The sequence below is a fragment of the Homo sapiens genome, chromosome 21 (assembly GCF_000001405.40).
Source record: "Homo sapiens chromosome 21, GRCh38.p14 Primary Assembly".
Lineage (NCBI taxonomy): Eukaryota > Metazoa > Chordata > Mammalia > Primates > Hominidae > Homo > Homo sapiens.
This window is the reverse complement of record NC_000021.9, coordinates 37847266-37875039: the sequence shown is the minus strand read 5'-3', so window position 1 is coordinate 37875039 and position 27774 is coordinate 37847266. Positions and strand designations below refer to the sequence as shown.

Here is a 27774-nt window from a genome sequence, read left to right as displayed (position 1 = left end):
GGCATAGAGTGACTCTGGCTTTGTTGAGAGAAAGAGGTTTGGAGCAGAACTGCCAGAATCTGACTTATGTTTTGAAAGGACTACCGTGGCTTGCTGTGCTGAGAATAGTTTTGCAGGGCACAGCAGTGGACACAGAGAGGCCAGTCAGGTCATTGCAGAGATGGTGGCTTGGGTCAGGAGGGTGGCAGTGGTGGAGGTGGAGCCGTGCTTGGATTGTGAATGTGTTTAAAGGGCTTTCTAAGAGATCGAATGTGAACTGTCACAGAAAAGGGACAGACATAGTGACTCTAAGGTTGAGGCCTGAGCAAATGGAAGAAGGCATTGTCACCCTCCCATCATTCCTCCCAGTGTTCATCAGAGAGCCCTGAGGACAGCTGAGTGTAGGCGTGGGTGTGGCTGAGTGGGACAGTGAATAATTTGTTCATCTTTCTATCCTTAGACCCTACAGAGTGGGTTCATCAGAAAGACTTTTGAATGCATAAATACTTATAATTTGGGATAAATTAAATGACATTAAATCCAGACTAGTATCAAAGTTCAGTTTTGGTCAGGTGAATTTTGAGATATTTATTAGACATCCAAATGGAGAAGTCAAGCTGTCAGTCTGTTATATGAGTCTGGAGTTCAAGGGCTGGAGATAATAAATCTGGCCACTGGGTATTGAAAATGAGAATGAGGATAGAGAAGAGAACATGTCCTAGTGAGCCCTGGGGCATCCCAAATAGTGAGAAACCAGCAAAGAAAAGGAAAAAGAAAAGAGGAGTTGGTGAGAGACCAAGTGAAAGTGACGTTTCAAGGGGGAGGGATGATCAGGTGTGGCCTGCGGCTGATGGGCCAGCAAGACAGGCCTCCTCCCCCAGTGATGACATCCATTGGGCTGGGTGCTACTGCGGGCCCAGACAGGAGCAGCTTCCAGGGAGCAGGGAAGGGAGAGGGTGAACCCCTGATTAGGATGAGTTTAAGAGAGATGGAGGCAGAGGAAATGGGAAAAGCAAGTATGGCCGAGTTTTCTAAGGAGTTCTGCTGTGAAAGTGAGCAGAGAAATGGAGATAGAAGTTGAAGAGGGAGTGGAGATAAGACGCAGTTTTCTTTGCAGGGTGGAGTGGTAACAGCTGATGGGAAGGACTGGAAAAATGCTGAGGAATGAGGTAAATGCTGAGCAATGCTGTCCAGTAGAGGGCAAAAGGGAGGGATAAAAGGTACAAGTGGAAGCGTGGATAGATGTGATCTGGTAGTTTGTGGATGTTCCCTTGTAATGGTGACAGATTTCTTGGTGAAGGTGGAAGCTGTGTCTTCAGCTAAGAGTGAGGATGGGGAGAAGATGCTGGAGGTTTAAGAAGAGAGAACAGGGAGAGTGAGAAAGTCAATAATTTGCTCATATTTCTATTTCTAGTCCTACATAGTGGGTTCTAAAAAAGGCTTTTCAGTGCAGAAACACTTATAGATTAGGGTCAATGAAAAGACACCAAGCCTAGACGAGTATGCACACTGCTAGCAATGCTCAGCTAGTTGTGGTTGGTGTGTTTAGAGAGCTGGTTTAAGAGATCAGGTCAATGGACGGTTAGGTACACTGACTGCACTAGTCTGCCTGGCCTCAATCCAGTTATCCCCATTGGCCACCAGTGATGAGATCTTTGGAAAAGTTATTCACCTGGTTTAGTCTCAGTTTTCTCCTCTGTAAACTAACACCAATAATGGTATCTGCCCATAGAGTCACTGTGAGGATTTACTGCAAGGATTCGCGTAACGTGCTTGGCATGTGGTAAGCTGGAATCAATGACAGCCATCGTCGGCAGTCTCAGTGTTATGATATTAATAAGAAACGACTGCAGCGCATGCATGGCTGGGATGGTGATGTTGTGCTGGGTGAGCCTGGCAAGTAATGATTAGTCGTCACTGTGTTCCAGAGTCTCACCTTCAGCCCAGCAGGAGAAACAGCTAGGCTTTGTCAAGGGCCTTGACATTATTAGTCTGTTCTCAACGTTGCTATGAAGAAATACCTGAGACTGGGTAATTTATAAAGGAATGAGGTATAATTGACTGACAGTTCCACATGGCTGGGGAGGCCTCAGGAAACTTACAATCATGGTGGAAGGCACCTCTTCACAGTTCGGCAAGAGAGAGAATGAGTGACAGCAGGGGAAATGTCAGATGCTCATAAAACCAGCAGATCTCATAAGAACACACTATCATGAGAACAGCATGGGGGAAACTGACCCCATGGTTCAATTACCTCCGACCAGTTCCCTCCCATGACATGTGAGGATTATGGGGATTACAATTCAAGATGAGATTCGGGTGGGGACACAGTCAAACCATATCAGGCCTATAGAGAGTATTGATCTTGGAGGCGCAGATTCACATGAACTAAACTCACAGAAGACTGATACATAAACCACAAAGCCAACTTAGGAAACATCACTATTGGGAGAAAAATTGATTGAGGGAGCAAAGTTATGATCAGAAGGTTGGGCAAAGAGCCTTGGGAGTGCAGTTAGGTGAAGCAAATGAGTGTTATTAAGCCATGATCATCAGTCACCTATTCCTCCTGTAGGCTGCACCTCCTGGGTGCACTGAAAACTTCCTGTTGGTGGCCAAGGTGCCCCATTCCCTAACTAATGCCGGTGACACAGAGGAAGCCTTGCCCTTTGACTTTGTAAGATCCAGACTCCAGGCAACTGATTTGCTTAGGTTTGCCCACATATTATTTCTAGGCATGTTATTAGTTATGGCTTCTTGAACATCAGGCAGCCTTGATTAGACTTCTAGGTCTGGGGTGTGCTACTCCATCCTGATAGATATACTCATTCTTGATGACTCCTTCAGATGTCATTTCACACGTTAGTTAATGAATTAACCAGGTAAGCTCCCTGAGGACAGCCTTGTTTTTCTGCCTTGCCCTGTGTTGATGGACCAGAGTAGCTCTTAGGACATCCGTGCCCCATACCTCTTCACTTTGATTTGTGTGCTTACATTTGTTTGTTTAATAACCAACCTTCTCCCACAATCCCCGTCAAAAAAAAACTGAACTGTATTTTCCTGGGAAATTTGCTTCTCATTTGAAAATACACACATTTAACTTATGAAAAATCAAATCCATATGTTTCTGAGTTATTTATTCTAAACCCATCAAAACATTTTAACAGCTGCCTAATGTCCAAGAATCATTTTGTTTCTTAACAGGTTTTTAAAAAGCTTTTCGTTAAAAAATAGAAGAAAAAACAGGTGGTTATACTTTGTGAATGGGAAATAAACCACAATACCAAACTTCTGTGACTCTGGGCACATTGCATGCTGCAGCCTCACCTCTCTCCATCACTGTTTATCTAGAAGTCCACCCATCTGTCTGCCGGTTTACTCATCTGTCTGCAAGAGCACACTGTTCTTCAGGCAACTTCTTCCAGATTTGAAGAGAGAGCCATGAGTCATGTAGGAAGAATACCCCAGAGTACAAATCTTACTGTTATTCAGGAAAAAGTCTCAGAGCCCAGGGTGTGGTTGTGCCCAGATTTCTGTCCTCCTGTCAAGGGTAGAGCTGGCCTCTGCCCTCATCGGGCCCTCTTCTAGCCCTTCACCTGAACATTCTGCCAGATACGTGGGTGGGAGGTGTACAGGGTCTATATCAGCCTTGCATTTCTTGCTTCAATTCCCACCCACCTGGAACACGAAGTCCAGGTTTTGGTTTGAGCTCTGGCATTCGTCTGTGATTACGGTGCAAGGCAGAGCAGAACACCAGGATCAGAGGAGTGGACACAACACATGTTCAATGACTATCATGGCTATGATGTCATGCAAGCTATCTTCATGGCCATGGCTCCCCCCACGGTACAGGATGCAAGGTGTGCCCAATCCAACTATCCTGTCATTTGCCATGATAGTTCTCATCCACTTGAAACTGTCCCCTCCATCCATACTAAGCTCTTGTGTCAATGGCAGTCAGTGGAGCCCTCAACATCAAGAGGAGGGAATGAAAATAGGAAAAAAAAAGGTAATGAATGGGAGAGAAGAATCAGGAAAGTAAGAAAATGCATGATTGTGGCCAAAAAAAATCTGGGTAGATAGAGATAATGGTGCATCTTCCAAGACTTGGGATTGGTGTTTGAGTCTGTAAGATGCACAAAGAATTTCCCAGATCACACCACAAGGCTCACATGAGTAGTCAGGCCAAGCTACAGTTCAAAAGCAGAACCCACCGGGTGCAGAAGCTGTAGGAAGAGAATGAGCCATGATGGACGATGGCATCATCAGATCACCCTTTGATGTTAGCAAGATGACCCCCTTGAAAAGTCACTCAAAAATTTATAGACATCATCAAATATAAATGTCTGATAATAAAGGAACCAGACCATTTGGGCATACATTGTACTGTGTACAAATTTACTTTCAAATGATTTACAGTTGGTTTTAAATGCCTTCCTAAGAGCTGCTTTTGGAAACCAAAAAAAACAAAATTTTGAATTGTTCTAAGTATTTTTAATGTACTGTCTGAAATATCTCAGAATTATTCTAACAGTGCTGAAAGCAAGGCAGAGAGAGAATGTTCCATCCTGATGGACTGGCTATTTTGGATCCCAAGAGGCAATTCTGGGATGGGTTTGGGTCTTTGCCAGTTAGGTAGCTGGGCCTGTGCCAAAGAGAGAAATACTGAGCTTCAAAGAAAACAGATGCTTAAAAGGTCTGTTCCACTCCTGCGATCTCTGTTTAATGCTGGCTATTGATGGCATATTGCTTTCAGATCTTTAATTTATCTCACCAGAGATACAATGCCATGTGCCTATCTGTTTTCAGCAGGCCAGGTGGCTGGGGCCGGGGGGTGGGGGCGGGGGTGGGTGGGAAATCCTCCATGGATTGCATGCCTTCCTGGTCATTGCAACATACATGAGCATCAGAAAAGGGAAAATGTATCATCTGGCTACAGCTCCTGTCTCCCTCTTCCAGGAAATATGTTTCTATGCAAGATGCCCACTCAGAGAAGTGTGTTCTCCTTTCTCCTTCCCTTCATCCTCCCAGGGACCTGTGCCATTCTCTGCAGCAAATGCCTTGTCTTGGCCTACCCTCTGCCTGAGCTGGCCCTTTGCTTTTCACTTCCTACTATCTATAGCACCCCACCCCTTGGGTCTACCCTTGGAAGCCACTCAGTCTTTCCTTTTAGCTGCCAAGTCCTAAAGCCCAGACTTCACTACTTAGCATCTGCTAAAGGGACCACTGCCATCTGGTCAACCAATAGGCCAGTGGTAGGGGATGAGTAGGTTTTCCAGGCTGGCCTCTTAAAGGAGCCTAAATAGGATTTTGCTACCTAATTCAGATGTGTGAATGACAAAGTGGAATTAAATCATTCAAGGATAAAGACACCATGTAGCTTGAAGGGTGAGGGAGGCTACTCAGGGTTAGCTAGAACCTGTCTACTTCCTTCAAATCAGTCCATGTCATCAGCCACCTACATCGCAGGTAGAAATTGTTCCAGCTCCTGACAGGGTTTGAAATGAGCAGGTGAGCTAAACCCAAATTACACAAACATGTAAAAGCCCGAGGCAAATGTTCCTATCAGGATCCAGCTTAACCAGATCCAAGAATTATTGGAACTGACAACTTAGGAAAATGGTTGTACATTTAAAACACAAACTAACTAACTTACCTGATGAGTTTCTCCACTCAGATCTGTAAAAACACCTCTTGGATTATTTCTATGAATTATTACCCAGAAAGGAATGCTTGGCATACAGTAGGTGCTCAATAACTGTTAGCCAGTAGTGTATTAAGGTTAGAAGAGGGGTCACTCATATGAGGGCTCGGCCGTGGAGGCCATGGAAATGGGAGAGCAGCCCCTTGTCAATCAAAGGTGCCTCATGATGGGCATGGCTTCTATCCCTCCATGTCCCCAGAGTGTGTGATTCATGATTGACTCCAAGCCACCCAGGCGATCCACTCACAGCCTGCTTCGATCATCCCTAAAGAATTCACTGCCTAGAGCACAGCTCAGGGATCCACAAAGCCTGGCTCTCTATCCCAGGGCCACTGTGAATTTCTTGCCCAACAGGCAATGGGTGCTCCATCACCATTCTCTACTGCGTTTTTCCCTCTTCTAAACTGTGAGTGAAACACCAAACACACAGCTTGAGAGCCATGTTGTAAAACTGTCATCCACATAAATAGCTTCCAAGAATCTTGTGTACTGTGGATTCTGAAGAACATTTTCATTTTGTTTGATGATTGCCAGCGCCTCTGTCCTCCCCTCTCCACCCAACCCCAGCCCTGCCTGCCCGTTGTGAGAGCCCTTTGTAATTCTGCTTAGAATATTGCACAGGTCTTGAGCTGTGAGAATTTACACAGGGATTGTCCCCTAACTGGTACATTTCCAGGGTTCTGAGGTTAGTCCTCTGATTTTCCGACTAACACATCTTCCCTTTGTGTAAACATGCATGGACCGCTACTTCCTCGGGACCTTTCAAGTTCGATTTATATTTTTCCCACAAATCCCAGAGAGATGTTTCTCCTCCCTTGTCTGGAACTCAGCTTTAATCTGCATCCTTCTCTGAATAGCAGCCTCTAGATGGTAAGAGAATTCACATTTTATCTTAGTTTTCCAAATGCTTCTCTTGATAAGATGTATAATTTACTTGTTGAAGGCACACCATGTTTTATAGGATACACACACATTCAGTTTAATTCTGTGATATTTTCCTTAAAAAGGCTTTCTGGAGAATTTTTAAAAATTATATTCCAGACAGTACAAATCTCTGTAATCGCAGATCTCATACAACTTGCCCTAAACTTTGCAGTAATGATCTCGCTAGCTGTAGTCATGTATATTAATAGGAGAATGTGCTACCCTCCACCGTATTTATTGCATTGTTTGCAAAGTGCTCTGAGACCCCTGACATAGCCATCCCCACTGTCCCCATAGTGCTGGAGGCAACATGGCCAGATACATAGGATGCCCGGAGCAGCCAGAGAGCTGGCCTTCAACTTCATTCTCCCAGCTGGCTGTGAGGTCTTAGGGAAAAGATGGTCCCCATTCCTGCACCAGTGTTTCCATCCACACAAGAACTAGCGATTTCTGCTGCCCAGCCCTGGACCTTTCTGTCCCCAGCTACCTGCTATATAAAGGCCAAGTCCTAATGAAAGTGCAACCACACCTGGCTCTTCAGAGACTGTTGACATATAAACCCAAAGTGCAAGGTACCATTAATATCTCAGAGATCATGACCTTGGATGATCCTTCTGCCCCCTGGCTTTTCCCTCTCTGTTCACCAGTCTCTTCGCTGCCTGATTGTTGTGGTAATATATTTACCGTGTAACCTTCTGTTATTTTTATCATATGGTTTTTCACCATCTGCTGTGTGGTTCTACAGCTGACATCACTCTTTGCAAGGTAAGGTCTGGTCTGCTACACAATCTATTATTGTCGCTTTTATTACCGTTTGGCCCATTTCAATTGTTGTTTTTGGAAGCAGGTAGGATATAAAGTACAAATACGTAAACAAATGTTTATATAAAGATGAGGCAGAGATGGATTTCACTCTTCTTCAAAAAACTATAAAAGCATCTCTTGATATTACTCTCAAAAGGCAAGATAAAGGATCTGTATTTTGCCCTAACTTTTAAAAATAAAAATAAAACAGTTTGCTTTCATTCATATTGTCCCTGCTGCAAGCTTGGCTGCATGGGGCTTTCTGGGGGCCAGTGACCCCTCAGCTCTCCTCACTGGACAGATTTTTGTCCCTGACTCTGAGTGCGATGCTGCCTCTGATGTTGCTCCCTGTAGTACCCTAGACACCTCAGGTGTTATTAAAGGATGATTTTTAAATAGCGTAAAATCATGACTCTCAGGCAAATATAAAACTAACATATGGAAAATATTTTATTACACTTATTAATTAATAAGGAAATCATATAAATGTTACAAAAGATTCAAAGAAGAAGTCAAAGAATGGCACATTTCTATGGAGTTAAGGAATGTCAAGATGGCTTTTTCTATGAGAAGGGATATTATTTGAGCATCCACCTAACAGAATTTATTTGCCAGTCTATACACAATAATCATGTTTGCGTTGCCAATTATAACTGCACTGCCATCAGTTCTCTACAATTTAGAGATTGTAAAAATAGCTGAATGGCAATGAATAGCTAGAATCAGAAAACCTAGAAGGATATGTTCTAAGTAATGCGTAGTTTTGTATTGAAGACATCCAGTAATCTTCATTGCTTATTCATCATTCCCATCCTCCTTTCTCTTTCCAACAGCCGTTGGCCATCTCTAGTTCATCCTGTGGCCCCCAGATCTCAAGAGACATGGTCCTCTTGACCATGGCCTGGTGGCAGGTGAATCTGGCTGAAGTGCTGTTTCGTGGGAATTGCCAATGGACCCTTTTGACATTCTCTGTACTTAGTTTCTGATCCCACACTTTTCTTGCTCATTCTCCCCAGTTGCCAGTAGGCAGGGACCAATGTCCAGCTGGTCATTCCATTTGAATGCAACCCTGGCCTCACTGTCCAGCTCCGGCCAGGTCTGTTCCTTTAGCAAAAGCTGCACAAAAGTATGTGAAAGGTCGGGCTCCTGGTTCAGTGAAGAACCAGCAGCCTGTGCCCACCCAAGGACCAATTTCCTCCTTCCATCCATCTATAGAAACCCAAAGGTATTCTCCCAACTCATCAGATCCACTTGTTAATTGTGATGTCTCTCCTGGTATACCAGTCAGGGTTCAATAGAGAAGCAGAATGAGGAAGTGATATACAGTAAGAGGCTTATTACAAGACATTGTGTTATGTAATTGTGAGGGCTGACTAAGCAAGTCTTAAAGCCTGAAGGGCAGGCCACCAAGAACAGCAGGCAGGAGCTCTCAGGCAGGAACTGAATCCACCATCCACAGACAGAATGTCTTCTTTTCTCAGGGAAGCTTCAAGCCAGCGTTTAAAGAACTTTGCCTAATTGAGTCAGGCCCACTCAGATTATCTGCGATAACCTCCCCTTAATTTAAAGTCAACCAATTATGATCACATCCACAAAATATCTTCACAGCAACACCTAAGTTAGTAGTCTAAGAAGTTTCCTGATATGATTTTTTTTAATTTGTTGAAATTTGGTTTGTGGTCTAACACACGATCTACACTGCTGAGAGTTTCATGTGCTGATGAGCACATAAATGTGTGTTCTGCAACGGTTGAGTGAGATGTTCTGTAAATGTCTGTTAGGACCATTTGGTCTTGAGTGCAGTTTAAATCCAACACTTCTTTGTTGATCTTCTATCTAGATGATCTGTCCAAGACTGAGAGTGGGGTGTTGAAGTCCCCAGTCACCAAATTATAAACCACCCCATAAAAACCAGACAGTGGGAAAGTGCCTGAGTTATCATTTATGAAAGCATCAGCAAGAGCACGTAGTGCCTCAGCCCTTAACAGGGGTATGACATGGACAAGTTCTTTCTAAGCTGGCTCCTCCATTCATAAAATGATTAATTAGATAAGCTATAAGGAGCTCAAAAAATTGCTTGTTCTACCACTGGCTTCTCAAAGAGGAGCTGGATCCGTATTGTACAGAATGAGACAGTTCAAGCTCAGAAGAGTCAGGCCCCTGCCTCCCCCTCCAGCCAGTGTCTTTCCTTTCCTCTCCTGCCCATGCAGACAGCTGAGAACTGGGGGTGGACATGATGGGACACGACTGGCAAAAAAACAGTATATACGGTTATCTGAAAATATTTGCATAAGGCCTCCTCCACTTTTTTTCTGTATAATGGTAACTTCTGTTTTTCGTATCAAGTGAAGTAGAGTATTTCTTGGTGATTTCAGCATCACGTTAAAAATACAGCTCTTTCCACCAGACACACACTTTACATTATTCCCAGCATATCTGAATCACCTATCAATAGGGCCTCCAGCTTTTCTAACACTCCTACACGGAGTTTCTGTACACAAATTATGTTTGGGGTCAGGATTAGGGCTCAATCCTGGAGGTACTTGGGATCTAGCTCTAAATAGTGAAGATAAGGAAACCAGCTTCTCTTGAAGCCTCATGGGCATAGAGAACATCTTTTTCTGGGCCAGGCACAGTGACTCATGCCTGTAATCCCAGCACTTTGGGAGTCCAAGGCAAGAGGATCACTTGAGCCCCAAATTTCAAGACCAGCCTGGGCAATACAACAAGACCCAGTCTCAAAAAAAAAAAAAAAAAGAGAGAGAGACAGATGGGGAGAATGGGGACTGATGTACCCACAGAAGTGCTAGAGACCCCTAAAGCATGCCTTGGTGTTTTCACTTCAGTAAAAGTAAAACAAAGTGTCCTCTACTCATTTTTAGAGGAGACTTTGGAAAGGCATAAGTTTGCTAGGAGCAAGTGCCTTTGAAGAGACAGCTCCTGTAACAGTCCAATAAGACAATGCAAACACGTGGCCCTACCAGAAGGGCCTGAGTCCCTCCACCTCTGAAACCCCTGCACATCTTCAAAGCTTTGTATTTGAAGCTACCTAATCATGCACAGAGCTTACAAGTCTGGGTAACTTGTTGTCTAGTTCTCTCTAGGTTTCATCTCTCACCTGACTTGTTTTTGCGGTGTATTAAACAATGGCATACAGATATTTAATCTGAATGCCAATGTTTTAAAAAAGAAACACTATTAAAGAACTGGATATTCCTGGCCGGCCATGGTGGCTCACACCTGTAATCCTAGCTCTTTGGGAGGCTGAGGCAGGTGGCTCACCTGAGGTCAGGAATTCAAGACCACCCTGGCCAACACGTGAAACCTCCTCTCTCCTAAAAATACAAAAATTAACCAGGCATGGTGGTGCACACTTGTTGTCCCAGCTACTTGGGAGGCTGAGGTGGGAGGATCACTTGAATGTAGGAGGCAGAGATTGCAGTCAGCCAAGATCACACCATTGCACTCTAGACTGGGTGACAGGGTGAGAATCTACCTAAAACAAAAAAAAAAAATAGAGAATTGGAGAATTGCATATTCCTTTCCTGTGTCTCTGTCAAGCGTCAGCTGTTGGATGACGTAGACTGAAACCGGCCTCAAGCCCCACAACCCGGCTTGTGATGCCGGATGACTCATTGGCCTGAAAAGCTGATATTTTCATATGGTCTTTCCTGAGGTCCCATCATTTCAAGCAGTTTAAACTCAACCTCCAAACTGCCAATATAGCAGAAGCTCACCTTCTCTCTCTTCACCAAAAAAAAAAAAAAACAAAAAAAAAAAAACCTTTATATTTTAAAATTGCTTAAAGAGACAATGTAAGCCAATAAGACTTTTAGGAGCCATGGAGCATTTTTTTTCTTACAAGAGTTACAGCAGTGCACATAAGTAGCAGCTAAATATTATTTTAGAAGTGGGGCGTTGATGTTATAAACCTATTAGCTCTTAATTCCAGCTAATTATGCATTTTGTCACATGTAGCAAAGTGCCTGTGGAAACCTATTTTAATAATATTTTAATAACCTTATTTCCTGATGCACAAAAACGATTGTAGATATCAACCACACCCTGTGCATAAAGCAAAATACATCCAAATCGTTAAAAATATAAATGTCTGGCACCAGAGGTACTTCCTGAAGAATAAACTCTCAAAAATTCAGTCATAAATGGACACAGCCCTTTCAAGTCTCTCTGTACCCACTCTAAATCAGATTTGCAATAAATCAAAGTTGGTACCTGTGCGATACCCATCAATATTAAGAAGCTGAGGGTATAGCATATGGGCAAAGAGTCAAATTCGCTTCCAGCCATTGGGGCTACTGTGTTGGTTACTGTGGAGGCACAGTAAGTAGTCAGGCGTAACAATCTCTGAATTTCAAAAACTAAGAACCTAAAATTTTATTACTCCATGTTTTACTCATTTAAGCAGACATACTAATAAATCAGGAATTACTGTGCCTAAAATATTAATGAATCAAATAACACAAAATAAGCAAAATGTTAAAGAAAAGACTATAAAACATGTTTTTCCTCTTTCCTCAGTTTTACTACATTGATCTTCACCAGTAATTCTCTGCTGTGAATGTCGAGTGTCTATGCTCTCCATGATTGTCTATGCTCTTCATGAGCACGGCTCTGCTGTTGGCTCTCTCCATTCACCTTGTCCGAATCTTCCTAGCCTTTTTAAGAGTCTCTGTCCTACCTTTTGAAAACCAGTAGCTGTGGCTACTCTCCTGTAGGTCTGACTGCTTCATCTTGGAGCCAGTCCTGCTTTTTCCTCCTGGCAACAAATGATGTCACACATCAGTCAAGATGTCTGCCCTGTCTCTCCCCTGGCTGTTGAGGGGACCGACTTAGCAGCTCAAAATTCTAAGGCATTGTACTCTTTTACAAAACTGCCAGAATGTGTTCAACTAAGTCAGCCTACCGCTAGCACAAATAGAAGAGGAAGAACCCCCAGTTTCTTCATATTTCTCTGACTATCTACACAGGGTAAACACAGTCTCTGCAGCTGCTGTTGCAAAATACAAATTTACCAGGTGGCTGCCCAGATAGAAGCAAGATCACCCAAGTTGACAGATGCTGTGTCTAGGCTTTTTCGTGATATATTAGCTTGAACTCAGATCATAATTTCCCCTGCAGTTTGAGCTACTTAACAAAGCCTTCGCCTTTTAGAATTAAAGCACAGCTAGATACTTGGTCCTCACAGACTTGAATGCCACAATGTGTATACATGCATGCATGCCTGTGTGTATAAAGGTGACATTTACAAAACAGAAAAGTTAAAATAGAAGACTTCTCTGCTTGCCAAAAAAAGCACATTGGATATTTACTATAAATAGTGACCCCCTCCAGCCCTGCCTATTTAAGGTAGACTTGGACTTAAAATTCACACACAATGTTTGGGGGATTCAACTGTTGTATAGAGTGAGGTTCACCTGATTGTAAGCAAAATACAGCCCTTTTCCACAGCTCTCATGGAAGAATTCCAACCACTGGCGATTCTGACACCTTATGTAAGATTGGAAACTGGTTCCAAGAAGGGCTGTCTTCTAAGCCTTACTTGGGGCTTGAGGAGCAGGCCAAGGAACGAGATAGACATGGGCTTGTTTGATTAGAGTGGAGGTGTGTTCTGCAGCGGGGCTTGAGCCACCCACTTGACTGAGTGCTGACCTACAGCCCCACTACTGGAAGCTCAGGGTACCCACACCCTCCTCTCCTTTCCAGTCACCAGCTTGCCCAGGGGCCCAGCATCAACACCTCAGTGAGGCTGATGGTCCCCTACTTGCCACTGGGCTATGAAGGAGTCATTTAAATTTTAGTGAACACAATCCAAGGCCCGGAGTGTTCCCCAGTTTGGTGCTTCTCAAGGACATTCCTCAAGTACCTTCTCAGCTTGGCACCCAGTAGTCACTCCATGTTTTATGGCTGTGGGGCAGAGGGACCAGCTCTGTGGGAAATGCTCTCAGGCTTCCAAGGGGTCATTACTGAGACACTGAAGTGTGCTGAAAAATGCATGTCTGCCTGCTGAGATACAGGGCTAACCATGTCGCAACCCTACTTCTCCAGATGTTAGGGGCTAAATTGCATGCCCTCAAAATTTGTATGTTGAAGTCCTAACCCCCAGTACCTCAGAATGGGACTGTATTTGGAGATAGAGCCTTTAAAGAAGTGATAGAGGTAAAATGAGGTCACTAGGGTGGGCTTTAATCCAAGCTGACTGGTGGTCTTATAAGAAGAGAAGATGAGGACACAGGCACACACAGAGGGACAACCCTATAAGGACACAGGGAGAAGACGCCATCCCCAAGCCAAGGACAGAGGCCTCCAAGGAACCAGCCCCACTGAAACCTTGGTCTTGGACTTCCAGCCTCCAGAACTTTGAGAAAATAAATGCCTGTTGTTTAAGCCCTCCAGTTTGTGGTACTTTGTTACAGTAGGCTGAGTTGACTAATACACCAGAGTTGACAGTCTAGGGTAGGGAGTCGGGCAATAATGAGTAAATAAAGAAACAAAGATTGATGTAGTCCTCACCTCCTGCCTGTCAGCCTTCTAAGTGGTTTTCATATCATTAATCTCTCCTTTTATTCTCACTGTAGTTTCATAAACTATGTATAACATTATCCCTATTGTACAGATGAGGAAAATGAGGCACAAGGAGGTTAAGGACTTTCCCAATGTCATGCAGCTCAAGTAGTGGAGCTGAGATTTAAACTCTGAGAGTCTAACCCCAGATTATACTGTCTACCCACATACACAATGAAGACGAAAGCTACAATAAATTAAGCAGGGAAAACATTGGGAAGTGATGAGGGAGTGAAGATGGGAACTATGCTAGATATGGTGTCAGGGAAGGCCTTGGAAGAGGTGACATTGTAACCATGACCTGGATGATATGACATAGAGAGCCACTCCAGGGGGGTAGTGGGAGAGCTTTTCTGGCAAGTACAATGGCCCCGGGGAAGGACTGGGCAAGAAAGTCAAAGACTGCAGTGTGAGTGATGGGGAGAAGGCTGGGAAATGAGGGTGGAGGGAGCCTAGGGACAGATCCTGCAGGAACTCCATGCCACCTGAAGCTTAGATCTTATCACAAGTGTGCTGGAAAGGGTTTTAAGCCAGGGAAATAAGTCAGCTTATTTCTACTTCGAAGCCAGTGATGGCTCTGGCTGCCATATAGGGAACAGACCACAGGAGGCCCAAGAGGAAAAGCAGGGAGACCTGCCTGGCGTAGACCAGGCGAGAAAGGAGGGTGGCCTGAGCTAAGCTAGTAGCTGTGAGGATGGTGGGAGGCCATAAGATGTGGGATCGGCTTAGAACACAGAGCCCCATGGTCTTTCCCATGAAGGAGCTCAAACTCAAGTTGGAGAAAAATTATCACCGATAAGGTAATTGGAGAACAATTAAGGGCTAAATTATGAGCTATTACCTGGGTGTAAAATAGGATTCAGGAGAAAAAGGAATCAGTGTAGGACCGAGCAGCAGGTGGGTTTGGGATTACTCCTGCCTGGGGAAGAACAGGAGCAAAGATGGAAATAGCCATTGCACCGGGTGACCTGTCCACCTGCAGCATGTGTCTTGGGGCCATGTTACTCTGGGCATCCAGGGCACGGGGTGTCTTGTGGAGTGCCCACAAGGAGTCATGATGCAAGGGACCAGCAGGGTAAAGGTGGGAAAGAGGGAGAACTGAAAGGCAAAGAGGTCAGAATCCAGGAGATACGCTAAGAAGCCATTCTATTAATTCAGAGGAGTTGAAATGCAGGCATTCTAGCATGAAGACAAAAGTATCAGTGGTAGCTTAGAAGACCCAAAGCCCCAGTACTTTATAACTTCATAATTGGGCTTTTGTTTTTATTTTTATGTTTTTTTAGTTGACTGTAACCTTCTTCTGAAATCAAGAAATTTCAGACACAAGTAAATCAATGAAATTCTTTGCTGGTCTGCCAAAACCCACATGAAACAGAGATAGCAATCATCACTTTATCCCTACCACTGAGATACAGTACAACTACCATTAGCTTGTCAGAAGCCCTGGAATGAAAAACTGGGGCTGCTCAACACCCAGTGCTGGCTAGAATCATCTGTAGAGCTTTTTAAGTATTTTATATATATATATATATATATATATATATATATATATATATATAAAGTAATATAAGCCCATAGTTAAAATTGTGGACAATGAAAAACCCTTCCTAGACTCCAGTTCAGTTTCCTATCCCAGAGACAACCACTGTTATGAGTTTCTTGTGTATCCTTCCAGAGATATCCTATTCATATGCTCACACATATGTGTGCTTTTGTGTCCTTAGTTATACATCTTATAAAATTTTAAAAAATATATATGTATGCTTTCTTAAACATAAGTGGAACACTACCATATATTCTCTTTTATAAATAGCTTTTTTACTTAACAATGTATCTTGGGAATTTTTCCATAGTAATTACCTATTGCTATATTTTGGTCTTTTATTTATTGAAGTTGTTTTCCATGAAGCCTCTAGATCTTAAAAATATGTTTATTGTTCTTTATCATATTTTATTTTGTGTTCTTTGTTTGCTTTGCTTTGTTGCAATTTGCAATTTTGTAAATTCGGTAGAATGAGAGTTTCATTTTGTTCTTCTATAATATATACTGTACTTACATCTTTGTTCTTTAGACAGAAACTTTTGTCTCCCTACCATAAAGTATGTTTAAATTGAGATTCTTTGATTTTCTATTTTCATGTAGTTTCTTTCCTCCTTCACCTTCCCTGCCTGGTTTTAATTGGTTACGCTGTTATTCCTAGTTCATCTAGTGCTGACCTTTATTCCCTTAAGTTATATTTCTATAGCTCCCTTTATGATATCTTCAAAAAAAACCCATGGAGAATTTCATTCCTGAGTGCTTGCATCTTTAAGATATCTCTCAGGCATTTCTTTGCTTGAACACCAGTGTGGCTGAGTATAAAACTGTAGTATCTCACTTTATTTTCCCAAAGACTTTAGATCTTATCCCATTGTCTTGTTGAATGTTTCTAGAGAGAAGGCTAAAGATAGTCTGTTTTTCCCCTTTTCTATGTGCCCTTTATGCTTTGATGCCTGTAAAATTATTTCTTTTTTCTCTGAAGTGCAGTAACTATATTAGGATATATATCAGTGCCCATGAATCCCCTTTTCCCCTCCAGGACCTAGCATGCTCTATCAATATTAAGAATTGAGCTTAATCTGAACTTTCTTTTTTTTTTTTTTTTTTTTTTTTTGAGACGGAGTCTTGCTCTGTCGCCCAGGCTGGAGTGCAGTGGCCAGATCTCGGCTCACTGCAAGCTCCGCCTCCCGGGTTCACGCCATTCTCCTGCCTCAGCCTCCCGAGTAGCTGGGACTACAGGCGCCCGCCACTACGCCTGGCTAATTTTTTTTGTATTTTTAGTAGAGATGGGGTTTCACCGTGTTATCCAGGATGGTCTCGATCTCCTGACTTCATGATCCACCCTCTTCGGCCTCCCAAAGTGCTGAGATTACAGGCGTGAGCCACCGTACCTGGCCAATCTGAATTTTCTTAATGATGTATCTAAATATTTTTCTGCTAATTCTGTTTTCTTCTCCTAGGATACAAACTCTATATATGTTGAATCATCTTTTTCTGTCTTCCATGTCTGTCATTTTCAGTTTGATATTTATTTTCTTTTTATTTTGCTCTATCTTCTCAAATTACACTCTGTGTCCTTGATTATATTTTCATCAGTGTCTTTCTCTTTTTTCTAAATAAATATGGCCTCTATTTCAATATTCACTTACTATATTCACTGTACTATTTCTATATTTGCTTTACCATTTACTAGTCACCTTACTTTTCTAGGTCATTGTTCAGCTTCCAGCTTGTCTTTTTTTTCCTGTAATATTTTGGATAGATCCACTGCTGGCTCCTCATGAAACAGGGGATTTCTTTCTGGGTCAGTAATTTGTGAAAGGAAGTGTTGAGAAGGGCCCAGGAAGCATAGCACAGAGCAAGAAGTCTCTTGGGCTAGAGTAAAGTTCTGTCTAATTCCGGGCTTTGTCAGAGGTTTAGTCCTTACATCACACAGCTAACAAAGGTTGGCAGCCACAGAGCTGCTCACTGTCCACAGTTTCTTTTCCACTCAGCCACACAAAAAGATTCCCTTTGCAAAATGGCAGATCTGAGCATTTTCTTCTGTCTCTCTGCTTCCTCCAGTCCCTTTGTGGTATCACACACTGTCCAGGAAGGCTCTCATAGCCAGTACCACATCTTCATCTTGTTGCTCTAAACATTGGTAATGCTTTGACTATGCCCCCAGGATGAAGAAGGCTGTGGGCAGCCAGCTCTGCCATAGATTTCTGGGGCTAGGCATCGTTTCTCACTCACCACCTTTATCCTGGCCCAATTTCTGCTGCATGTAACAATAGCCCTCCCTCTACATACATGTTCTGAGGTTGTAGGCATTTCATAGTTGCATCAAAAGTGAAGATTTCCTTCAGTTTCTTGGTATCTTTACTGTTTTCCAAAGGAGACAAAAGTCTCTGTCTTACCATCTTAAAATTAGATCTATCCATAGGAATGGTTTAAAGAAATGCATATTATTTACTTTTATCCGCAGAGATTTTGATTCAGTGGGTCTTCATTGGAGTATCGGCACCTCAAGGCTCAGAAGAGCCACAAGCAATGCATTTAAAATATTAGGGATACCATTCGATACTCCTACCAGAGCATGGCCTGGTGAACCATGCAAGAGCATCACACACTGGAATGAAACCAAGTAACTGGTACATCCAGCCAGGTCAATACCCAAACCATACAACTTCCCCAGGTCAGAGGCCATTGTTCTGACCTGGGGCTTAGGGGAAGCAGTTTACACTCACCATACTGATTTTTTATCTTTTTTTAATTTTGAAAAATGGAAAATCTGTAGAAAAGCCACAAGAATAATATAATACACATGATATACCCATTACCTGGATCCCCCCGTTTGTAAACATTTGTCACATTTGCCTCCTTTATTTGTGTTCTCTCTCTCTCTCTCTCCATTTAAGAGTTATAGTCATCAGGATATGTTGCCCTAAGTATTTGAGTGTATATCTCCTGAGAGCAAGGGCATTTTCCACACTGACTTGAAGTTCACCTAGTCCACAGTCTTGACTTGCTCATCAAGGCAGGAACCTAGGCACCTTCTCATAGAGAACCAGGAACAGAGAGGCTGGCTCTGACTAAGGCCGGAAGCACAAAATCACAGAGTTGAGAAATGAACAGCAAGGAGTAGGGAGAGGACAAGGAAGATGATAGCAGGATTTCCTGGTGGAAGAGCTAAGAAGGAAATGAAAATGTTTAAGCTGGTTGCTGCCTTAGGCACAGTAATTCTTCTCCCATCTCACTAGGGAATGTGGCCCAGCAAATGCCACAACATTGTATGGCATTGGCTCTGTGGTATTCAGAGAGAAGAATTACGAGATTTTAAAATGCAGGGAATCTGAAGAGCTTCCGGAAATGATGTTTGGACCTCTTCCCTCCCCTTCCCCACCCTCCTGTCTCTGGCCATGGCTTTCTGAGTGATGGAAAATGCAAGCACCATCTGCCCTAGCACCCAGTCCCAGGGAGGATAAAGCCTTGGGAAAGAATTCTTGCCTTGAGCGCCCTGAATCCTGCTTCCACCCCCTCTCCCCTGCCTTCTGCTGTGCTCTGGGACAGGGAGGCTGAACAGCTGCTGCCTGTCAGGGACAGAGGCCCCTGGCCGTGCTTGGCCAATAGCCCACCTTATAGCTAAAAGTGGAGAGAGTCATTTTTTCTTCCTCACAGATAGATATTTTAAAAAATTAGGAACCACAGAATTGTCAATGAGAATCTCATGATTGTGAATATGTGGTTTTGGAAAAATATTCATCACGGTTGAGCAGAACTGAGTTTCTTGGCTCGGCAGTGCTAAAAGGATGATATAAACAAAGGACATGATTCTGCAATGACTGGTCCCCGGGGGAGAGAGGGGCCCCCAGCAGATGCAGTCATTCTTGACTTCTGCCTTCTGAATTGGAAGTTTACTGTTGGATTTTTGATTTCATAAGGAAAGCTATTTTTTCTGCTCTGCTTAATTCTTTTTGTCACAAAACTGTTTAAACTGCACAAAAGATGCAAATCCATCTTCCATGACACAGACTCAGAATCTAACTATCTTCCTCTTTCCTCTAGTATTCTATAGAAAGGTTCCAAGAACAGTCACAATAGAGCGATGTGAGGGTTATGCTAATTCTCCAAGATCAGAGAGAGTGTTCCAATAAAGAAGCTAAAGAGAATGGAGAGTCCATTCCTCCCTTTTCTTTAAAACTCTGAGCCATGAAAACCACATCGTACTCCAAAAACTTCTGAAGAACTGCAACCTCACTGCAGCATTCAGAATAATGACATGCTAGACTGGTAGGAAGCAAACATGGGGGTGGCACAAGTAAAAAAGAGAAAAAGAAGAAAAGAAACCAAAAAAATTTTATTTTTTAAAAGTTCGATTCCATTGTGATCAGAGAGCATACTCGGTATGATTTCAATTCTTTTGTTGAGGTCTGTCTTGGTATATATGCTGTGGGCATTTGGAAAGAACGTGTATTCTGCTGTTGTTGTGTGGCAAATTCTATAAACATTGATTTGATCCTGTTGGTTGATGATGTTGATTTTCTCTGTATCCTTACCGATTTTCTCTGTAGTTGTCCTAACAATTGTTAAGAGAAGGGTGTTGGCATCTTCAACTATATTCGTGGATTTATTTCCCCTTTCAGTTCTATCAGTTTTTGCTCCACATATTTTGCACCTCTGTTGTTTGTTGCATACACATTTAGGATTGCTATGTATTCTTGGTTGATTAAACCTTTATTGTATTGGTACTTAATGGTTGTTCATATTTATGAATATCTCATGTGATATTTTGATAGATACATACAATGTGGAATGATCAAGTCAGGGTATTTGGGATATCCATCACCTCAAACATATATTATTCATTTGTGTTGGGAACATTTCAAGTTTTCTTCTAGCTATTTTGAAATATACAACACAGCATCATTAACTATAGTCATTCTACTGTGCTATCAAACAATGGAGCTTATTCTTTCTATCTAAATGTATTTTTGTATACACTAACCAACCTTTGCTCATCTGCCTCCTGATCCTTCCAGGCTTCTGGTTACCGTTCTACTCATTACTCCATTAGATCAATTTTTTAGCTCTCAAGTATGAGTGAGGACATATATTTTTCTTTCTGCGCCTGGCTTACTTCACTTAACGTAATATTCTCCATTATTTAATCTTTATTATTATGTAATTTTTCTCTCCATCTCTCATATTTTCTTTGCTCTGCAGTCTACTTTGTGTAATAATATTGCCATACTTTTTTTAAATTAATGCTTGTGTGGTACATCTTTTTCCATCTTTTTACTTTCAATCTACCCATACCATTATATTTGAAGTGAGTTTTTTTTAATGATATGTAGTTGGAGTTGCTTTTTATACACTCTGCTAATCTCTGTTTTTTAATTGGTGTATTTGGACCATTTATGTTTAATATAATTATTAGCATGTTAAGGCTTAGGTTGGCCATTTAATTTTTTGTTTTCTATTTGTTTTTTGTTTTGTGATTCTCTGGGGTTTTTTTCTGAAATTCTGTGGGTTATTTCAACATTTTCTAAAATTCAACTTTGATTTATCTATAGTGTTTTTGAATATATCTCTTTGTTTAGCTTTTTCAGTGGCTGTTCTAGGAATTACATTCTGTGTTTATGTATATATACACAATGTAATTTATATATATATATATACATATATATATGTATCTCTTAACTACTGCTGTTAATATTGACCAATTCAAGGGAAACATAGAAATCTTAGCTCCCTTTACATTCGTTTCCCTTCCCCTATTTAAAATATAGTTGTCTTAAATATTTCCTCTACATATATTAAGAATCACAGTAGACCATGCTATAATGTGTGCTTCAGCCATCAAGCATAATTTAGAAAACTCAAGAAAAGTCTACTGTGTTTGCCTATATATTTTCTCTTTCCATGTTCTTTCTACCTCTAAGATGTGTCAAGATTGCTTCTTTTATTATTTCCTTTTTGTTGAGAGAACTTCCTTTCTTTCAGGGTAGGTCTGCTGGTGACAAATTCTCTTTGTTTTCTTTCATCTGAAAATGCCTGAGTGCCTTGATTTTCATTTAATTCATGAAAGACATTTTTGCTGCTATAAAATTCTGAGCTGAAAATGTTTTTTTTCCCAGTGGTTGAAAAATGTTATGCTATTTTGTTCTGACCTCCACAGTTTCTAAGTAGAAAACCTCTGTCACTTGAATTACCTTTCCCTATTGATAATGCACTACTTCTCCCTGGCTGCTTTCATGATTTTTTTCTTTTTCTTTAGTTTTCAGAAGTTTATCATGTGTCTCTGAGTGAATTACCTTGGGTTTTTCTTGCATGGGTTTCATTTGGCTCCTTGGATCTGTAGTTGTTTTTTTTTTTTTTTAATTTGAAAAAATTGCAGCCATTATTCCCTTGAATACTTTCTTCAGCCTCATCTTCTTTTTCTTCTCCTCCTGATATTCTGTGTCATAAATGTTTGATCTTTTGTTACAACCCCACATGTTCCCAAGGCTCTGTTCATTTTTTTAAGTCTATTTTCTCTCTAGTGTCCAGATTATATAATTTCTATTGTTCTATCAACAAGTTCACTGTTTCTTTGCTCTGTCTTACCCACCCTGCTGTTCAGCCCATCGATTGAGTTTTTTATTTCAGTTATTAAAATTTTTAGTTCTGAATTTTTTTCCAGTTCTTCTCCATAAGTGCTGATTTTTTGCTGAGGCTTACTATTTGTTTGTTAGCACTTTTCTTCATTTGTTTCAGGCTGCATTAGGTTCCTTATATAATTATAAAATCTGGGTCATATCAGTGTTGATATTTGTCTTTAGTCATTCAGTTTTAGCTCTTTCTGTTGGTATGACAGGTAATTTTTTACTGAAACCTAAGCATTTTTGGTGTTACTATAAGATTCTGGATCTTATTGAAATCTTGTATTATAGCAGGACTCCTCTGACATCACTCTGGTGAGTTAAGGAGGGAACCACCTCATTGCTCACTAGTAAGGTGTCATCCTTTTTACTGCTGGATGGTAATGAAGGCTCAGGATCCCTACTGGGTCTCCAGCAACACCATCCTGGCTGGGATAGGAGGGGGCACCTCATTACTACTTCTCACGTGGTGGTCTCCACCAACACTTTGCAAGAGTGACCTTGTTACAGCTGGATGGCAGTGAATATCCTGACTCTATACTGGCCCTCCTCTAATACCTCCCCTGTGGCTCTGGGGAGACATACCTCATTATTACCAGAACCGTGTGGAGGACCAGGCTCCCCATATGGTCTCCAGGGAGTCTCACTGTCCTTTAGCAAGAAGGAAAATTCAGAATCTCCACTCTGTCTTCCCTGACACCATCCTGACAACAGGTTTGGGTGCAGCATTACACCTGATAAGAGTGGGAGCCAAAGCTCCCCACCCAGCCTTTGCTTTCCAGGTGGAATTGCTGTTTTTTCTATAATGTTTGGCTACAGAGGTTATTGTTCAAAGGTTTTCTGTCTTCTTAGACTACCTCTCTCCTAGGTCTTTGGCTAAAGAATTCAAGCTTGGGGCATTTTTGTCTGCATCTATTGACATTTCCAATTTGCTAACATCTCCAGTATCCAGTCAGGGATAAACAATATAGAAAAAAAAAAAAAGAACTCAGAGAGCTCACTCCCATGTTATTCCTCAGATATCAAGGTCCCTAGCTGGTATGGCTTCCTCTATTCACCTTTCAGAGTCAACTTAAGTTTGTCATATATATTGTCCAGGATTTTTTTGTTGTGCTTAGTGAGAGGAATAGGAAAAAAAAAATCAATCTGCATCATCTTTGCCAAAGCTGAAATGAAGAAATTAACTGTAAATAGAGAAAAAAAAAGAAGAGATAAAAGAACAACAGAGATTAGGACGGTGTTCCTCATTTTCCTTCTCAGAGATCTCTGTTGCTGAGAATCAATTATTAGATACCTAACAAAGGGGTCACCTTCTGTCCCTTCCCTCCTCTATCCAAACAGAAGTTCAAGCTGAAAACACACGACAAGAAGCACAAGAAAATAATACAGTTTCCATCTGTAAATTTTCCTCAGTCTCCAGCCCCAGTAAATGTCACATTTGGTTATAAAATTGAATTTCTCAAAGGAACATTTTAAAAATATTCCCCTGACTTAGTTTCTTTTATAACTATTGACACAGATGAGAGATTGAAGAAGCACATCTTTCTGCACCCTACACTTTTTTGCATGCGTAGGGAACAAGCTGGCTTCCAGGGGTTATTCCAATAACTGGGACTCTCTGCTGTCCTATTGACAATGCTGTGGCAGAGTTCAGCAGGGATAGTATCCTGTTTTGAGAACAGGCAACCACACCACTTCCCTGGATACTGATAGTGACCAGAGTGGCCTGGCTTGGGAAGGAGCTGTTATCATGCCCCACTGGGTTCCCTGTCTGATTAAGGGGCTCCACATGGGTTATACAGTATTAGGCAGTTTAGGCTTAAATCTCCTGTCACAAAACTTGATCACGGCCCTCCCAAAGGCTGTGTGTTTTCACAGATGCACACAGGCTGAGCCATGAATGAATGAATGAATCAATCAATCAATTACTCTTCACTGCAACCCAGCCAGTTCTCAAGGTGAAGCATGACAAATAGTCCCACAGCAGCATGCATAACCCTAAGCTTCCCTAGGATTCATTCCTCTAAATTGAAGTTATAGGCATAAGTTAAAAGGCAGGAGAGAATTGAGCACCATGGTAACCAGAGTCCCCCACAGCACCTTTGCATGGGGCTCCGTAATACAACATTGCATCATTAGACAAACGTAAGCCATTCTAGTGACCATACCAAACTCACCACTGGGCTTGAGTGACTCCTTAAAACAGGGTCAAGCTGCTGGGCCGGGTGATTATTTTCTAAATCAGCAGCCTCCAACCTTTTTGGCATGAGGGACCAGTTTCATGGAAGACAATTTTTCCACGGACCAGGGGCAGGAGGAGGGGGTGGGGATGGTTTCAGAGTGAAACTGTTCCACCTCACATCATCAGGCAATAGATTCTCATGAGGCGTGCACCACCTAGATCCCTCACATGGGCAGTTCAAATAGGGTTCGCACTCCTGTGAGAATCTAATGTCACTGCTGATCTGACAGGAGGTGCAGCTCAGGTGGAAATGCTCACCTACTGCTCACCTCATGCTGTGTGGCCCAGTCCCTAACAGGCCGCGGACCAGTATTGGTCCACGGCCTGGGGTTTGGGGACCCCTGTTCTAAGTATCCCTTATATGTCAGAGTAACTAACCAGCCTTACCTTGGGGCCTGCCATCCTGCCCCTATCATCAGTCCCACCTGACCCCTGGCACCCCGCAACCTACCTCTGATCAAATAAAAGAAAGAACGTCATACAAAGAAAAACAAAAGGAATCAGGGATTTCTTTCCCTGGAACTATCACTACATCCCTGAAACCATTTTAGAAGAGCTCTTACAGGTCATTGTATTGCACTACTTTCTGGGGCAGAAATTCTTCTGGAAAATTCTGAACAAATGACTGGTCAGCATCTCATGTCAGGAAACTCACAGCTGTTCAGGGACATTCCATTCATTCTATGCATTCTTTGGTTGTGATTTGGTATTTCGTTTTACCCTTTTTGGAAACAGAGGAATTCATCCTTTATAGTGTTTCAGTTGCTCCTGGAGTTGTCAAGACTATTTCCTCTGACTTGCTCTGTTACTTTGTAAGTCATGGCTCCAAGAATGACAAGTCCTACATCCACAGTATGTACAGTTGCTAAGGTGCAGAGGGGATGGGCACTCAGAATGGGTTAGCCAGGGAGAATGTCAAACGGAAGTGAAACCTGAATTGAGGGATGAAGCAATGCAATGTGTTCAGAGACCAAAGGGGCTTGTCGGGCAGGAGCATAGTGTAGAAGTGATGAGCAATGGGCCTGGAGAGGTAGGTGGAGACCATGGCTGGAAGGGAAGGGTCCAGGCAAGCCATGGAATGCGGGGAGCTGGGAGTGCAGAGTGGATGTTGGAAGACTCAGTTTGCTTAGAACTTGGATTGTGGGCAACCTGGAAAAGTAAAGGGGAAAGAAAGGAACTAATATGGCATCTGTTCCCTTTCCTCTTGGAAATAGAGATGGTTTGGCAATGCCTGTGGGTTGGATGAAGCCAGGTGGGAGAGGCATTGGCCACCGCAAGGCTTAGGATGTCTGGAAGATCACCCTGGTATAAGAGCCCCCAGAGAGACGCTGAACCACAAAAGAGGCCATAGATTGAGAGTCATGAGACCAACAGGAAATTCCTGCCTGTTTCCAAGATTCAGCACTGTGGTTGAGTCCTGGGAAGCTAGGGACCAAACCTAGAATAGGTGCATCTTGGAAGCAGAGGTACCTGACAGGGAAAAGACTGCAGATGCTTGTCCACCACGGGCATGGGCTCTGTATGCTCCAGTTACCTGGACATCCTCAGTGCCTCCCTGCAGTCTCGCATAGTATTTTCTTTAAAGAAAATTTCCTGATAGGTCTGTGGTGATAATGCTTGTCCTATATTTTACAATATTTCCAGGAGCTCTAGGAAAGGAGAAATGAGTCACTCACCAATATTCCAAGAAACCAACTCCCCTGGGGAAATTCGTGAAACATTGTCTGGATATTGACGCTGAAAGTCAAGAGCTTGTCCCACAGTATTTCAAGCCAGGGAGGACACACACACAGCTGGGTTTGGAGAAACTCTGGCAGCCATGTGGTCCAACTGTTTTCTTACTCTTATCTCTGCTACCCATCACTCTTAGAAGGTCACGTGCTCAACATGCTTTCAAGAAAGTACCCAGAGCAATGCTCCAAATACTCTCCTGCCATCTACGAACTCACGCTGAAGCCCAAAGGAATTGAGGCAATGTTAGTACAAACTTAACTTTGAATCTGATTTATCTTTGTGAGATATCCTCATAACTCAGTGTATTAGGACCCTCCCTGGTCTGGTCAACAAGACCACAATGGTGGCAGCATAAGGAACCAGTCAGGGTGACCTGTACATAGGGACCTTAGAAAGGCTATCTGGTGAGGCTAAGGCTCTGAGCCTTATTGCAAAGAGGGCTTTCTCACCTAAAGCATCCTACATGGCCTGCCTAGCAAAAATGTCACCTCCTTCGAGCACACCCCACAGATGTTTTTACCCCAAATTGTGAAAATTTCAGATTATTTTAGAAACTTTAACTGAGTATATCAGTGGTGAAAACTAACTTTACTCTAAAAAAATGGTACCCCATCCTGATAGGCAAGTTCTTTACTCTTCAAATCTGCTAGTCCCCGGGCTCACAGGAGAGCACACTCATTGGGTTTTGCCTCCACATCTCCCACCATCTTCCTTGGCTCACCAGCGTGGGTTGCCACGGTCTTCACACAGGCACCTTCCTCCTCCCACTGGTTTGCCACAACTCCAGCCCTGGCCTCCCTCCTGAGCAGCTGTCTGGCCTCCAGGGACCTCCAGGGCTTATGTCCTCATTGTCCATGCCAGCCTCCTGCTCTTCTTCTCACACCAAGCCTTGGTCCCCCTGTGACCTGCTGCTCCTCACGCACCAAGCTTCCCCACCTTTCCTCATGCCATTTCTCCATCTGGAGTATTCTTCCTTGCCCTCCCCTCTCCCATCACTCTTCTTCCCCTCCTTCACACCTTGAAGCTGCTTCCTCCGTGAGGCACACCCTGGTTCTGTGAGTTAGAACTACATTTTCTCCAGTCTCATTCTCTGTCTCTATTCTGTTTCTCCCCCTCCTTCTCCCCCTCCCTTCTCTCCTCTCTCTCTCCCTCTCTCTCTCTGTCTCTCCCTTTCTCTTTGCTCCCTCTGTTCCTCTTTCTATCGATGTCCTGTAGAACCCTTCTGGTGTTTTACCCTTGATACCACATATTGCAGCTATTTCTCTACACATCTTGCCTTCTGGACCAAACTGGAAGCTCTCTGAAGGCAGGTGTAAAGCTGGCTTTACCTGGATGTCCTCTTCTATCCAGTGTCCATCTTGTGCACATCAATAAATTTTCAGCATCGGATGATTGAAGAAGGATCTTAGACCTGGATTCTCACTGCTGCCTTCAGCATGAACGGCCTTCATTTCTAGGACTTCTCACCAGTTCCTAGGGTTGCAGGTGGCACCGTGGCTGAGAGAGTGCAGGTGCAGAAAGAAGACTTGTTGGGTTTCATGCTCAACTCTACTCCTCACCAGCCGTGTGATCTGGCATGATCTGCTGAACCTCTCTGTGCCTCAGTTTCCCCATCCTCAAAGTAGAGAAGACAGTACCATTT

General features: G+C 42.8%; 1 protein-coding gene across 1 annotated transcript in view, besides 1 other annotated feature; it reads left to right on the top strand.

Moving 5' to 3' along the window:
* The window catches only part of KCNJ6 (potassium inwardly rectifying channel subfamily J member 6), a 309085-nt gene that overhangs the window by 41418 nt on the left and 239893 nt on the right, over positions 1 to 27774 (top strand). The gene's annotated exons all lie outside the window — the stretch shown is intronic.
* Positions 18119 to 19736: an enhancer, noted in NCBI's record as "VISTA enhancer hs1811". NCBI's record gives its function as "enhancer in: neural tube[5/7] | hindbrain (rhombencephalon)[5/7] | midbrain (mesencephalon)[6/7]" and the evidence as "EXISTENCE:transgenic organism evidence [ECO:0001131][PMID:17130149]".